Below are 15,049 nucleotides of genomic sequence, written 5' to 3' on the forward strand. Positions count from 1 at the left end.
GAAGATCCCTGAAAGACACACTGCACCCCAGCTGTCTGTCCCTGCAGCATGCGATGGAGGCTGGGGGTGGGGGATGGGGGAGATGGCAGGGGCTGGTCCTCGGTCCAAATCCAGGTCACTCCCAGCCTGTTCAGCAGCCGCTCAGTAATTAGGGGCCAGCAGGACGTGGGCAGGCAGGTGGCAGGAAGCCTAATTGTCTGATTTTTCAGGTAATTAACAGGCGGCTGTCTGGCCAGTCCCCACGGGGCCCAGCATCCGCCACCCCATCCCCTGGGCAGCCCTAGGTACCTAATGAGGCCAATTACTGAGTGGTGCCCAGGTTCTCATTAGCCACCTGGAAAGGTCATGTGGGACTGGCACCGGGGGGCAGGGCTCAGCCAGCCATGGTGGAGGCTGGGCCTCTCCCCGAGAAATCGGGGTGCAGCATGGACAGGCTGCTGGGCTCTGCTGCTGCCTGTTGAGGGGTAGCCCGTCCGACAGCTGGGACCTCTCTTCACAGCTCCCTTTTCAGGACAGCAGCTTTAGGTCAAACGCCAAACTCCCTTGCCACCTCCCAGCCATGTGGACTTGGGTATGTCAAGCCCCAATCTGGCCCTGGGATTCCTGGATCAGAGATGATGGACGTAAAGCCCAGTAGGTGCCCCGCACGTGGGTGGGCACTCACCTTCCAACAGTGCCAATTCCTGTCCTGACTCTACTTGTGAGGAGCAAGAGGACAGAGGGGATAGAGCCTGAGGTCACCAACATGTCAGGAGCCCACTCTGCAGGGCCCTGGAGGCTGAGGGCAGCAGGGACAGCTCCCTGGGATTCACCCCAGGGGACCTCAGCACCTGGGTGGGGAGTCTTAGGAGGGGTCAGTAGAGGTGGCCAGACCAGGCTGGGGGTGCTCTAGAAATGGCTGGACATCCAGGGCATCTGAGCTGGAGGAGGAGGGGAAGCAGGCAATCACCAGGAAATGAGGGGATTCGGAGACCATGGTGGAGCCCTCCCCCTCCCTGGGTGCTCTGGGACATGTAGTGAAAGAGCCCGGAGTCCCCACGCTCCTGTCCGAGGCAAGAGCTCGTTTTGTCTTGGTCAATTCTCGCCATTTTCAGCCCAGGAAATCAGGGGAGGTCTGCATCCTAGGATGTTGAGCCTTTTGGGCTTCTGTGGCTCTTCTGTTTTAAGAATTTTGTGACCTAATTCCATGCTGACAAATTCCATGCTGTTCCGGCTTCTGTAATTGTCAGCTAACGCTACTTTTGGTCCTGCTGCTGGCCTAGAATCTAAGTTAAGGGTTTCCAAAATGTGTCCCCCAGGAGTTCTTGGGTAGAGGCGGAAGTGAGGGGTGAAGGGATACCTGACCCCACAACTGAAGCAGCTTGCCTTTGGTCACTGGGAAAATATTGGTAGCTGCCCCTTTGTGAGCTCTTGCCTTGTGCAGGAAATCCGTCTCTATGGTTGTGTTTTGTCTTCATAAAACCCCAAAAGGAAGATAACATCACAGTCCCATTTCCCAGATGAGGATGCTGAGGCTATTCCAGGCTAAGGCTGAGCAGCTTGCCTCAGGTCTCAGAGCTTATAGGAAGAGCCGGGACTTGGATCCAGTTTCCACTCTGAGCCACCGGGAATATGGGTTCCTTAGAAAAAAAACTAGCTGCAGGGTTGGGGATGTGTGTGTCACATTTATCTAAACTTGTTTCCTCCAAGTCGGGGTGTGGACGCTGGCCTCTCTGTCCCAGGGAAGCGTGGTTCTAGTGCCAGGTCACCCAAGGACCCCTGCATCCCGCCACGCAGTGTGGTGTCTGTGTGTTTGAGGGCCCGTCTGCCTGTTTCCCTTCCCTCTGCTGTGGGCTCTGCTTTGCTCACGGTCCAAACCAATAAGATCCAGCCCAGAAATAGCATATGTTTCCAGCCTCTGCTCCTCCAAGTCATACATCGCCTGGTGTGATGTGTCCCTGTGTCAGCCTGCTTCAAGACTCAGGGCGGGGGTGGCTGAGGAGGGAGTGTGAGGAGCACGCAGGGCCACCTCCAGGTTGAGATTTAGAGGTGAAGAGCCGGGTGAGCCCAGGACACAGCCTCAGAAGGCAAGTGGGGACCAGTATTCCCTAGGCCTGGGGCCGGGTTGGGGGCTCAGCCTGGGTTGGGAGTCAGAGGTTGATGGCCCAGATTCATCCTGGGCCTAAGGGTTGAGACTTTAGAAACTAGCTGGGCACGGTGGCTCACGCCTGTAATCCCAGCACTTTGGGAGGCTGAGGCGGGTGGATCACCTGAGGTCAGGAGTTCGAGACCAGCCTGACCAACATGGAGAAACCCCATCTCTACTAAAAATACAAAAAATTAGCCAGGCGTGGTGGCGCGTGTCTGCAATCCCAGCTACTCAGGAGGCTGAGGCAGGAGAATCGCTTGAACACGGGAGGCGAAGGTTGTGGTGACCCAAGATCGTGTTATTGCACTCCAGCCTGGGCGACAAGAGCGAAACTCCGTCTCAAAAAAAAAAGAAACTAGAGTTGGGGCCCAAAGGTTTGGGCTTCAGTCTTGTCTAGCAGTCAGAGGTCCAGACTCAGCTTGGAGTTAGGAGTTAGAGGGCCGGGTTCACTGTTCACCGCAAACTGACCTTTGACCCTGACTCCGACCCCAAACTGAGCTTGGACCTTCATCCTCGTCAGGACTCAGGCTAGTCCCAAAGGCCACGACTGCCTGAGGAAGAGGTCCCCAAAGACCCAGAAGCCTTCCTATTTTCTGGAGACGACTCAGAGCAGGACTGGTAACAAAGAGATGCCTGAAAAATGGGCGTCTAGGGCTTGGACATGACCACGCACAGGGTGGTAGCCAGGTGCGGTGGCACGCGCCTGCAGTCCCAGCTACTCAGGAAGCTGAGGCAGGAGGATCGCCGGAGCCCAGAAGTTTGAGGTTACAGTGAACTATGACAGTGCCACTGCACTCCAGCCTGGATGACAGAGCAAGACCGTGACTCTAGAAAGAAAGCAAAGGGCTTGGACCGAATCTTGTTCCCGAAGGCCTCCAGCCCCGGCTGCCTGCCTGCTCCCAGGGTGTGCTTCCCCTGAAAACTTGGCTGCTCATCTCTGAAATGTGGGTGATCACAGCACCCACCTTCACGTCGATCACGCTCCCTCTGGGTTGCCGATTTCTACCCTCAAGGCTGTAGCCTCGAGGGACCAGGGGTAGCTGAGATATTAAGTGCGGATGAGTGTTTGAGGCGGGTGTGTGAGACACCTAGCGTGGGTTCGTGCCCCTTCCCTACCTCCACGGCATGGGGGCCTCAGGGACGGGGCTGAGCCAAGGCTGTAGGTCCCCAGTCACAGCCCAGGGCCCCATCACTTCCCAGGCTACCTCCAAGAGGTAGCCCTGCGGCCTGTTCAGGCCTCATATGTCCCACCTGAGCAGGGGACAGGCAGTACTGTCCAGGGAATCTTTTCCAGGCCTCCATTCGGCCAGCTGGGTTTTCCCGCCTCTTCTCCATTCTGGGCCCAGCGTGGAGAGACATTTGGGGACCAGCCCACATGGCGGCCAGTGGAGGAGCCAGGGTGGAGTAAGCAAGCAGGAATGAGAGGCCAGCGGGCAGCGGAAAAGGGTGCGAGGGGGAAGCCTTATCACAGGCTTCTCTGTTCTCACCTCCCACGGGGCCTGGTCACAAACCGGCCTCAGGCACCAACCCACAACTGGGGCAAGAGGTCTCCCCTCCCCAGGGGACCACAGGAAGATTCAACCAAGGGGGAAACCAGTCCTGTGTGAGGGGCAGAGGGGTGGGGGCTGGAGGAGGAGAGCACCCCTGGGGGACAGCAGTGGTGGAGTTCAGAGCCAGCAAGGGAGGGGTGGACGACAGGGGGATTGCTCTGCTGCCCAGCATGGGAGGCCTCCAGGGTTTGGCTGTCAAAGTCCCGGTCACCTCCTCCAGCTGAGCTATTAATACCCAGCTACGACCCACGCACCCTTGCTGGGAGGACGCCGAGTTCCTCAGGGAGCTAAAAATGGTTTCCCATGGGGGCAGGCAAGCCCTCCTCCCTCTCTTCTTGTCAGAGGAGCTAAGGCCAAAGGCCAGGCTGGCTTGGAAGGGGACGGGGCCAGAGTGGAGGGGCAGAGAGAAGCGGGTGGCTGAGGATTCCAGTTGGGAGCAGGAAGGCACTCATCCAGTCCAATCCCCATTGCTCAGAAACCCGAGAGGGAGGGGGCTTGCCAGTGGCCCGTTCCAGGAGGGGACCACACCAAGGTCTCCTGGCTCCTTGCCCCCATCCGGACTTTCTCCTTTCCCTCAGGTCTTCGTTTGGGCCTCCCCAGGCTGCAGTGGGGCTGGAGACTGAGGACTGCCTGTCACCTCCTGCCAGGAGGGGCCTAGAGGAAAAAAGGGGGCTCCAGGGAGACGTTTGGAGCCTCTGGTAGGAGCTGGGCTGCCTAAAGCATGGCCACTTATGTTTCTGTTTCATGTGCAAAATCTTGTTTATCCACAGCATTGTCTGAGAAGGGAATTACTGGCAGCACCATTTTACAGATAACAAAATTGAGGCTCAGTCATCTCCCCAGAGCTTGAGCTGGAAGGAGCCAGGCTGCCTGACTCCAGACCCTATCCTGTGTTGCCTCCTGTTATGGGTTATTGGAAAAGGAGATTTCCTGGTGTGTTAGCCGGGGGCCCACGAAAAAGGTGTTTCCATCCCAATGTCCTGGTCATCACAGTGTCCGGGCCCACTGAGGGGCATGGACCAAGAATGAGGAGGCTGCACGGGTGCCCTTCTGCATTGACCAACCCTCCTGCCTGGACCCATTGGCCACTTCTTTCTCCATTCCTGGGGCTCAAGGGCACATCCTCAAGGCCTGTGCTGGTCTTCTGGCCTCAAGGCCACCCAAGGCCACCTGTTTCCTGCTGTGTCCTTTTTTCTCATGGCAGATGCTCTAGGGTCCAGACATAGACCCCAGAAGAGTGCAGACTTGGCCAGCAGATTCCAGACAAGAGAGTGGCTGACAGAGGTGTCAGCCCCAGAGGTCCCCCCGTGCTGGAAATCCCGACAGCTGCCTGGCTAATAGATCCTGGGTACCAAGCCCTGACCCCGGGCAGCCAGCGGCCGTGTCAGGGGTCCAGAGAAGTTGGGGGAGGTGATGGCTGGAGCCAGGGCAGTCTGCCTGTGGTTAGCGAGGCCGTCAACACCTTCTGGGTTGCCAAGGCAGAGTGGGGTAGGGGTCTGGGAGAGGGGTCCTGCCCTGGCCTGGAGAGAGACAGTCTCTGGCCTGGCCTGGAGGTAAGGGTAGAGGCAGCTTCTGCCCTAAGGGTTCTGGGAAGGCTAAAGGATGTAGGCTGAAGGAGACCTGGCTCTAGCTTAGGAATGTAAGGAGGGAGACAGGCCCCTGGCCTTTGGAGCTGGTAGAGGGGGTTTATTTCCTAATGGCTGGTGGGGACTGGGGTGCTGAGGGGTTGTCTCAGACTGACTTCACTTCTCCATCCAGGAAATGAGCTGGCCTAACTCTGCCTGGATTTTCCTCAGCCCCTGGGGAGGGTCCTTGCCTTTGAGCTGGGGTAGGGAGAGACTGGCCACCCTCAGAGACCGGGTTCCAAAGGAGCCTCTCCCGGGATGGGCCCAGGGTGGCTGCCACCTCCTACCTGCTCCCTTGCCCCCCATGCCTTCGGTTCTCCTAATGTCCTAACATCCACATGCTCTCCTGCTCTGGGGCCACTCTCCAGGCAGTCTTCCTAGATTGATACAGGCTGGGAGGAACCATGTTCCCAACGCCCAAAGCAGGCCTGGAGCACCCCTGCCTGCCCCTGCTCTTAGGAACCCTCCCCAGCAAGGCCTGGCCTGAGGCCGTGGGCCTCCACCTTCCTTTTCCTGTTCTTTTCTCGGTGCTGCCTCTCTCCAGGCTGTCTCCTACACAGCAGCCCTCTGGTTCTCCCTTGTGTCTCTCCATCTTGTTTCCCTGGGTTTTATCTTTGTCCCTTGGTTTCAGACTCAGACCCGGCTGTGTCTCTGGTTCAGTCTCCATTCTGCCTCTCTGCCTCTGCAGTTGGACTGGTGACTCCCTGTCCCCTCTCTAGCTCTGCTTGGCTCTCTCTTGTCCTGTCTCTGATTATCTCCACCTCTTTGTCATTGTGACTCTGGAACCCTCCCTGCCTGGCCAGGATGCCTGCTCAGACATCTGCTCCAACTGCCACGCACTGGGCCCCATGAAGAGCTTAGGGGACTTGTAGTCTCAGCTCTGGCCCAGTGCCAGGGGAGCTCCTGTGATTCCCAGGAGGCAAGCGAGGGAGAGACGAGACAGAGGGCCGCGTGCCTGCTCTGCTTGTCCCTTGGGGAGCCTAATGATGCTGGGCCTCCCCTTGGTCAGGCCATTGGCCATGCCCCCCCACCCTGGCTCCCAACTCCCAGCACCACATGGCTCATGGTCACCCCCAACGCCCCCACTATGGCTGTGTGACCCTGGATGAGTTTCTGAGCCTCAGTTTCCTCTTCGACAGAGTGGAACCAATTCCAAGGCCAGCTTCAGCAGGCATCAGAAGGTTAAATGTCAATGCACATGGCAGGCATCTGGCACTGTGCCCAGCATGCTGTGGCGCTCAGTAGAGTCCCCGTTACCATCACTGTGGCGGTTATTCTTCAGGATCCCCAGAGCCATGGCCAGTCGGATGGGGGCTGGGTGGAGCCTCTGCTGCTTGTCCCCATGTGCACCCTGCGTCCCACGCCCGTCCTTCCTCTGCTGGGCAGTAGACGCCCCCACAACCTGGGACCTGCCTGTCTTCGGAGCCAGTCTGAATTGTACACAGTGATGCTCACCCAATTAATTTTCACTGGCTTGGGGATATATTTTTTTTAAGAAGACATTTTTCCAGGGGGAAAAACACGCAGGAGCTATAATTAGTTGGGAAGAGGAAAGAAGAGCGGAGTGTGTGAATCACCAGCCCCAGTGACAGACTGTTGGAGCCGAGCAGAAGTTTCAAGAGAAGCCACTGGGTTGTGGGTGAGTTGGGGTGGTGTGTCGTGGGGATGGCGCGCTGCCGCAGGCAGGCTGGGGTCCTGGAACACCAGGTCCAGGGATGGGCACCTTCACCCCTCACCCTGAAGAGTCTTTTGCCCCGCCTCTCCCCAGACCCTGTCACCCGACACCCTATCCCAGCGTTCAGCTTCCCTGCAGCTCCTGTCTGCCCTGACTGACCCCAGGACCTCTCCCCTCCCCAGTCCTTGCTGACACAAGCCTGAGCAGAGAGACTAGCACTCAAATGAGGAGAGAGAAACTGTAGAGGATTTGAGCTCCAGGGTTTGGAGACTGTCCAGTCCAACTCCTTATTCATTCATTCATTCATTCATTCATTCATGCATGCATGCATTCATTCACTTAGTCATCAAATACTGAACTACTGCTCTGTGCCTAGCCCACAGACAAGCAAACTGAGGCCCAGGGAAGTGCCAGGCCTTGCCCAAGGCCATACATCTGTGAGTGGTGCAGCCTCTCTGCCTGTCCGTCATCACTAGCTCTGCTGAGCCAGGCCCTGGCCAGGGCTCTGACCACCAAGGTGACCACAACTGGAACCCACTCTCACAGAGCCCCTATCCCAATGGGGAAGCAACCAGGTACCTGTTAGACAAGGAGCCTGGAGGTAGTTCCTGACCAGCCTGGTGGACATGGAGGACTTCCCAGGGGAGGAGGAAAAGCAGCATGACAGCGGCCATCATGCTGGGAAGGACCTTAAATGACTCAGTGTGCCTAAGCTCGGGGAGTGGCAGGAATTGGGGTCAGGGTTGCTAGAGAGTGAGGCTTCTTGGACCAGGTCATTACAATGCCCATTTTGCCCACATTTCTCCTGAGCTCCTGCCTGAATGGGCATGACCTGCTGGCCAGGGGCACCCTGGGGCAATGCTCACCATGTGGACTTGGTCCTTGGAGACCCTCCACTAGTTCTTCCTGATGCCGGGAGCACCAGTCAGTCAGTGGACCGGACAGTCAGTGACCAAGGAGTGTGGCCCTGGGTTTCTCCCTCCCTCCTTCTCCCCTGGCTGAGGACCGGCTGCCTGACTCTCTAGGGGCCCCAGCTCAGGCCTCAGGAGGGAGCACACTGGAGCAGTGTGGCCTGGAACTGAGAGCAGAGGCCCCAGGTCCCCAGGGAGGGGATGCTTCCTCCCCTGGGAGAGCGTGGCATCATTCGGCACACAGAGAGCTCCCTTCTAACCCCAGACCAAATTAGCCTTCCAAATTATAGGCTGCGTTTCCTCTAAATTGGAGACTGGGTGGGAGAACAGAGGCCCGGCTCTCCTTCCTGCTTCCTGTTCACAGAGGGCCCTCAGTTGGTCTAGTCCCAGATCACAGGACCACATTCAGAAAGAATTCAGGACACACACACCCTCCTGCCCCTCAGTTCAGGGATCCCCAGGTCCCAGACCAGCATCCAGGGCTCAGGGGAAGCCTGTACCCTTCTGGGGTTTGACAACGAACTTAGAGCCAGCATGGTTCAGATAAGGCCAACCCAGAGTTCTGAGGTCATTTTCCGGGGGGAAGTCATTCATTCAAAAAACACTTTCTGGGTACATTCTCTGTGCCAGGTACAGGACAGAATGAGAAGGTGCACAGGTGGCTGTGGGAATGCCTGGTGAGGTTAGGGAGGGCTTCCTGGAGGAAGAGGCATATAAACTGAGACCCCAAAAAATGAATGTGCTCTTGGTGAGGGGAAGAGAGGGGAAGACAATTATAGGAGGAAGGAGCATTGAACGAAAATCCCAGGAGCAGAGAGTGAGGGAGTGGGCATCAAGAAGTGGGTGGAAACATTGGTTTGTCCAGATTAGGGGGTGGGGAGGAGTGTCAGTCAGCCACATTGGGAGGATTGCATTTCATCAGGGAGGAGGCCTTTGAGCAGGGGTGAGGGGGTGGGGGGTGCTGTGCAGAAGCAGGGCTGGACCCATTGCCTGACCCAAACAGAGGGCTCCTTGGGATCTCTCACACTGGCCTCCCTTAGGCCCCTTCCACATGGCCTCAGGCCTTTGGAGAAATAATTAAATTTACTTCAAGGAAAACATGGGACACGGGTTTTATTTCACGTGACCTGAAATGAAGGTGGCTTCCTATGTTTTTGCTAATTGACTTGGGACTTTTTGTGGTTTTCTTTTAGAAGAAAATTATTCTAGATGTTGAGAATAAGTGCAATTATTGTTTGGTGCTGCATGCAGAAATAAAAGGAAAACACCTCCCTGAGCTCACCCACCCCTGTGTTACAGAAGAGACAAGTGAGGTGGGGAGGGGAGGCCCCATAGCCGTGGCAGCCACAGTGATTGCTCCGGGGCAGGAGAGGGATGGCTTTCAGGGCTCAAATAGGACAGAGGATGCTTAGTGGGGAATATTCCTAACGGGGTGGAAGAGAGGAACTGGGAGATCCTCCAGCTCCTGATCTCACTTGCATACCTCTCCAGACACAGAGCTCACTGCTTACCAACTGCCTGGTAAATTTGCCCAGCTGCAGCTGTTGGACAGTCCTTCTTGAGTGAGGTGCTTCTCCCCTCAAACTCCCAGCCAAGGTTTTCTGCATCCTAACCTCTACCCACCCTCTGCCCCCAACTTTTCATCTTTCCCGCCTCGGCCTGAATGGAGTCTGGGGTCAGGGTGGACTCCGTGGGTAGGGCCCTGGGCTTCTGCAGGCTGCATAACACTAGCTGCCCATCTGATCTGTCCTGGGAATATGGCCCCAGATGGCTGAGGTGGGTTCCAGGCTAGAGCCTCCCCAGCTGGCTGCCAACATGTGCGCGTGAGGAGAGGCACACAGTCTGTTTCCTGGATGCCTGGCCTGTCAGCCTGCACATCCTGCCTGGACTGACCAGGTTGAGGACACAAGCCAGCGGGTAGAGGCAGGGCCAGACAATTTCATGGGCATTGACAGACAAGTGGAGCACCCCATTAGTGACCTCCCTCACTCAGCACACATCTGTTCGGCCCCTGCCACGTGTCTGGCCCTGTGATGGACACTAGGCCCTCAGAAATGAATTAGCCATGAACCCACACCCTGCCCTCCTAGACCAGGAGCCCTGGGTCTAGACAGGCATGGGGAGACCACAGGGAACAGTACAAAACCTGCAGCCCTGGCCACACCAGCAAAATCAACTCCAGACTTTTGGGAGTAAAATCCTACCGAAGCCACCTTCCACCCAGCAGCCAGAGAAGGACCTCTCAAAATCACCCCTGACCTCCTGCTCCTTCTGCATGGCCTGTCACGGCTCCCCAGTGCTGGACCTATGAGGCCCTGTGTGCCCCTGATCCCACCCACACTCCAGCCTCCTCCCTGGAACTCGACTCCCTCCCTCCACTCCAGCTGCCCCAAATGCTCTCGGGTTTTCATGGTCCCTCTAGCCATCTGGCCCTTGCCCAGGTTTTTCTCTCTGCCTGGAATATGTTCTCTGTCCTTTTCACCTGCTAACTCCTACTTACTCTTCAGATCCCAGCCCTCTCCCAGGGCAGCTTGCTCAGCCCCCAGACTATGACAGCTGTCATGGCATCTGCTCCTGTAGCCCCTTGCTCTGCTCCTCATGGAATCTGCAGTGAGAACCTTAACTGTATGCTTATTCGATTGGTGTCTGCACCCACTACAAAAAGCAGGCTGTGTTCTCTTGGTCACTGCTCTATCCCATCACCTCACCCCCTGGATGAGCCCTGGAGCAGATGCTTAATCAATATATGTTCAAGCCAGGCACGGTGACTCACACCTGTAATCCCAGCACTTTGGGAGGCTGAGGTGGGTGGATCACCTGACGTCAGGATTTCGAGACCAGCCTGGCCAACGTGGTGAAACCCTGTCTCTACCAAACTCACAAAAAGTAGTCGGGCATGGTGGTGCGCACCTGTAATCCCGGCTTCTTGGGAGAATGAGGTGGGAGAGTGACTTGAACCCCAGAGGCGGAAGCTGCAGTGAGTTGAGATGCACTACTGCACTCCAGCTTGGGCGACAGAGTGAGACTCCATTTCAAAAAAAAAAAAAAAAAAAAAAATATATATATATATATATATATATATATATATATATATATATATATATGTGTGTGTGTGTGTCCAGTGTGGAGTAAATAAATATAAAAACCTATCTAGTATCAACTGAAATGTTTCCATTCCATTGTTGTAGTTAACATCATGAATGGACTTCCTAAGCTGATTACCCCACTGTGGGAACCAAATTGGATTCCTACTTTGTTGGAGTCTCTTTCCAGATTTTAACAATTTACCATCCCATTCTCTGCCCTGTGATTTTTTAAAAGCTTATTCAATGTTCTGCAGCATTGTGATTGTATGCTGGCTACACTGCTTTTAGAATGCTCTTTCTCATGAAGCAAGGAAATAAATTTGTTTGAAATGACAAAAATAAATAAATAAATAAATATAAAAACCAGTGTTTCCGCTAGTAGAAATTTAAGGTCAGGATATCAGGCCAATAGCATTGAAAATGCACGTCGAGGCTGGGTACGGTGGCTCATGCCTGTAATCCCAGCACTTTGGGAGGCCGAGGCGGGTGGAATGCCTGAGCTCAGGAGTTCGAGACCATCCTGGGCAACATGGTGAAATCCTGTCTCTACTAAAATACAAAAAATTAGCCGGGCGTGGCGGCGTGCACCTGTAGTCCCAGCTACTCAGGAGGCTGAGGCAGGAGAATTGCTTGAACCCAGGAGGCGGAGATTGCAGTGAGCCAAGATGGCACCACTGCACTCCAGCCTGGGTGACAGAGTGGGACTCCATTTCCAAAAAAAAAAAAAGAAAGAAAGAAAATGCACGTCCATACCCTCATGCTGAGGATGTCACAAAGATGGCTACTCTCAATCATAAAATGTAACCATCCCTGAGCCAGCCCCAATGTCACTGGCAGTGGCTGGTTCCCAGGCAGCCGGGAAGCTAACCACAGCAGTAGTAACACTGACCATGTGTTGGGAGCCACCTGGGCGCCGAACGAGTGAGGAAATTTTTTCAATGAAACACATTCGAATGTAAGAATTTAAATGTGTTTGAAAGTATCAAAGCAGGTGTAGCCAAGGTTCACTCATTGACAGCCATTTCTCTTTCTTTCTTTCTCTCTTTCTTTCTCCCTCTCTCTCTCTCTCTCTTTCTCTCTCTCTCTCTCTCTCTCTCTTTCTCTCTCTTTCTTTCTTTCTTTCTCTTTCTTTCTTTCTTTCTTTCTTTCTTTCTCTCTCTCTCTCTCTCTCTCTTTCTTTCTTTCTTTCTTTCTTTTCTTTTTTGAGATGGAGTCTCGCTCTGTCGCCCAGGCTGGAGTGCAGTGGTGTGATCGCAGCTCACTGCAAGCTCCGCCTCCCGGGTTCATGCCATTCTCCTGCCTCAGCCTCCCGAGTATCTGGCACTACAGGGGCCAGCCACCACACCCAGCTAATTTTTTGTATTTTTAGTAGAGATGGGGTTTCACCATGTTAGTTAGCCAGGACGGTCTCGATCTCCTGACCTCGTGATCTGCCTGCCTCGGCCTCCCAAAGTGCTGGGATTACAGGCGTGAGCCACCGCGCCCAGGCATCGACAGCCATTTCTTCAGTGCCAACTCTGTGCCGGGGTGGCACTGAGGTTGTGGACAGATAGACCCTGCCTTTGCCCATCAGGCTGAAGCCAGGAGGCTCAATGGACCTGACCAAAGGGAAGGGAACACATTTTCTCCCATGGAAGGTGCGATCTCTGGGCATAGCTGCCATCTACAATGCAGTACAGACTGATCCTGTCCCGCAGGGCCCTGAGAGGCTTGGGCCAGCCTGGGGCCCTAGAACCTCCTGTCCCTCTGCTGGGGGCCTGGGCCGTCGCCCACGCCATCTGCGGCCAGCATTCAAGCAGCTGCGATAGCAGGTCTGGGCAGAAGGACCCATGGAGACAGGCTGGCAGCCTGCCCTGCTCATGCCTTCCCCTTCCGCAGGGCACCCCTCCGCCACCAGCCCATGGGATGCAGCCTACAACCAGCTCCTGCTGAGGTCATGTACGAGTCACGGCTCAAAGCAGCCCCTCCCTGCTGCCAGGGCACAGCTCAGTGTGTCTCGATGACCCAGGCTGCATGATGTGTGTGTGCTGGGTGGGGGTGTGCAGGGGATGGGGGTGCTCTGGGAGGAACGAGGCCTCCCCTTCCCCTCAGACTCAAGGCAGGACTGAGTCTCCCCATCAGACCAAAGTCCCTAAGGGCCCTAACCAGGAATATGATGCAGCTGGCCAGCTTCCCTGGGGCCAAGCCTCTGTCCCCACCTGGCAAGACCTTTGGGTCAGTGGCCCGGGATCTTCAGCGGCCGTGCTGACGTGCCTCAGCCCAAGGCTGCACCCAGCTGTGCCCTGTGCAGGCAGGCAGGGCTCTGAAGGACACAGGCAGCTCTTCCTCTGCCGGGACAGTGGGACCATCTATCAGGGAGATAAGCGGTAGCCAGAGGGCAGAGCTGGTGGAAGGAGCTGTCTGGAGGAGATAACCTGGGGTCACTCAAAGGCAGCTCACGGCCCCGCTCTCAAGCCACCTAGACCTGGGATCTGACATCCTGCCCCCATGCCTGCTGGCCACAGACATCTGGTTGCCATATCTTGGAGTAAACCCTAAGGCCCTCTGTGCACAGCTTACTCGGGACCTGCAGTCGGCATGGAGTGTGGTTCCTCTTTATATTCTGTGCCATGGCAGGGCCTCTATTATGGTTCTGTCTCACTCATTTACAGACTTTACAGATGGGGAAACTGAGGTCTGGAAGTGGCTTTGGTCTGCTCTGGTCCGAGGGAGCAGGCACAGGGTCCTGACCCCACCCTCAGCCTCCCGAGCATTGGACGGGTAGGAAGCCACATGGCGCTGCACCACTGGGCATTTATTGTGTGTGTCCCCACGTGTCTGCGGTGCGTGGCCCCTGTCCTGTTCCTGCTGCCCTGTGGACCAGGTCCTCCTTTTCTAGATGGAGACAATGCCCAGAGAGGTGAGGTCACCAGCTCAAGGTCACACCACTAGAAAGTGAAGTTTGAACGCAGGCCTCTTAGAGCTGCATTCAGAGCCTCAGCTGACCCGTGAACAGCACTGTCTGCCCAGAGGGGCCTCGGGTGCCCAGCAGAGGCCATAACAAATCCCCAGGGAGAAAACGGCTAAAAGCTGTCACCCCCAAACTGTCAGAAGACCCTGGGCTGATCTGGCCACCCCACCTCTTATTTATCGAGTAAGACTCAATAAATCTTTCTGAACAGATTAATAACTCAATACTGAGCAAATACATGGGAACAAATAATACAACATTTCCCCTTTCTGAGCCCCTGAGGTTGGTCTGGCCCATCTTTAGGGCCTCACACACTGGTCCTGACAGCTCCCTGGGACACATCTGTCCATCATCTGTTGGACTCTCAGGAAGAACCATCAATGACAGTGCCACCTGTGGGAGTCAAGAAGAGCCCAGGCCTTGGATCACAGAGACAGGGAGGAGGAGGGTGAAGGAGTGAGGAGCCCCTCAGCCTGGACTGGGAGTCAGACTCATCATTGCCCTGTGGTGGAGACTTCTGCAGTCCTTGCTGTCAGGGCCTCTAAGGGCTGGAGTGTTCAGGTATTGAAGGAGGCTAGGGCCAGTCTTGGGGATGAACCCTGGCTTTCTTCTCTGCCCCAATGTCCAGGGCAGTGGACATAACCCAGAAGCAGTTGGGAGCTTTTCTGGAAAGTATTTTCCAGATGAATGGTGGGAAGGGGCACCTTGCAGAGCCTTGGAATTCATCTGGCAGGCAGTGGAGGAATGGGGGCCTTTAAGGGGCCTGGGACCTTTCTGGCCATGATCAGCATTGAGGAGCTTCTGGGTCCGCTTTAGCCTGGGCCATCCTGGGAAGGAACAGGTGTGTGTAAAAGGAAGAGTCCCTGAGGCCTGGGGAGGGAGCCAGGGAAAAAGATCATCACTCAGAAAGGAGCCCACAGGCTATCGGATGGGTGCCAGCCCCACCACCCCAGCCCCTGGGAGGCTTCCACACCGAACGGGTCCTTTTTTGAATCCGGCTGAGGGCCTCCACCTCCACCTAAGGCTGGATTCATGAGAACCTGAGGGTGTGGAAGGGTTTTTTGCCACATGACATGGGTTGAGTCACCTCATGCTAACCCAGAGGGGAGATCCAAGCCTCCAGT

At 55.7% G+C, this 15,049-nt stretch overlaps 4 annotated features.

Annotated features, from left to right (window-relative positions):
* Window positions 2,824–3,586: an enhancer, noted in NCBI's record as "H3K4me1 hESC enhancer chr3:52052748-52053510 (GRCh37/hg19 assembly coordinates)". NCBI's record gives its function as "activates a minimal SCP1, AML or CMV promoter by ChIP-STARR-seq in naive H9 embryonic stem cells {active_cell/tissue: H9 hESC(naive)}" and the evidence as "EXISTENCE:reporter gene assay evidence [ECO:0000049][PMID:30033119]".
* Window positions 3,587–4,349: an enhancer, noted in NCBI's record as "H3K4me1 hESC enhancer chr3:52053511-52054273 (GRCh37/hg19 assembly coordinates)". NCBI's record gives its function as "activates a minimal SCP1, AML or CMV promoter by ChIP-STARR-seq in naive H9 embryonic stem cells {active_cell/tissue: H9 hESC(naive)}" and the evidence as "EXISTENCE:reporter gene assay evidence [ECO:0000049][PMID:30033119]".
* Window positions 8,022–8,401: an enhancer, noted in NCBI's record as "active region_19925". NCBI's record gives its function as "activates an Ori minimal core promoter by ATAC-STARR-seq in GM12878 lymphoblastoid cells {active_cell/tissue: GM12878}" and the evidence as "EXISTENCE:reporter gene assay evidence [ECO:0000049][PMID:35858748]".
* Window positions 13,245–13,539: a silencer, noted in NCBI's record as "tiled region #12856; HepG2 Repressive non-DNase unmatched - State 4:PromP, and K562 Repressive DNase matched - State 8:EnhW". NCBI's record gives its function as "represses a minimal TATA promoter and a strong SV40 promoter by Sharpr-MPRA in HepG2 and K562 cells {active_cell/tissue: HepG2 | K562}" and the evidence as "EXISTENCE:reporter gene assay evidence [ECO:0000049][PMID:27701403]".

The sequence above is a fragment of the Homo sapiens genome, chromosome 3, assembly GCF_000001405.40.
Source record: "Homo sapiens chromosome 3, GRCh38.p14 Primary Assembly".
Lineage (NCBI taxonomy): Eukaryota > Metazoa > Chordata > Mammalia > Primates > Hominidae > Homo > Homo sapiens.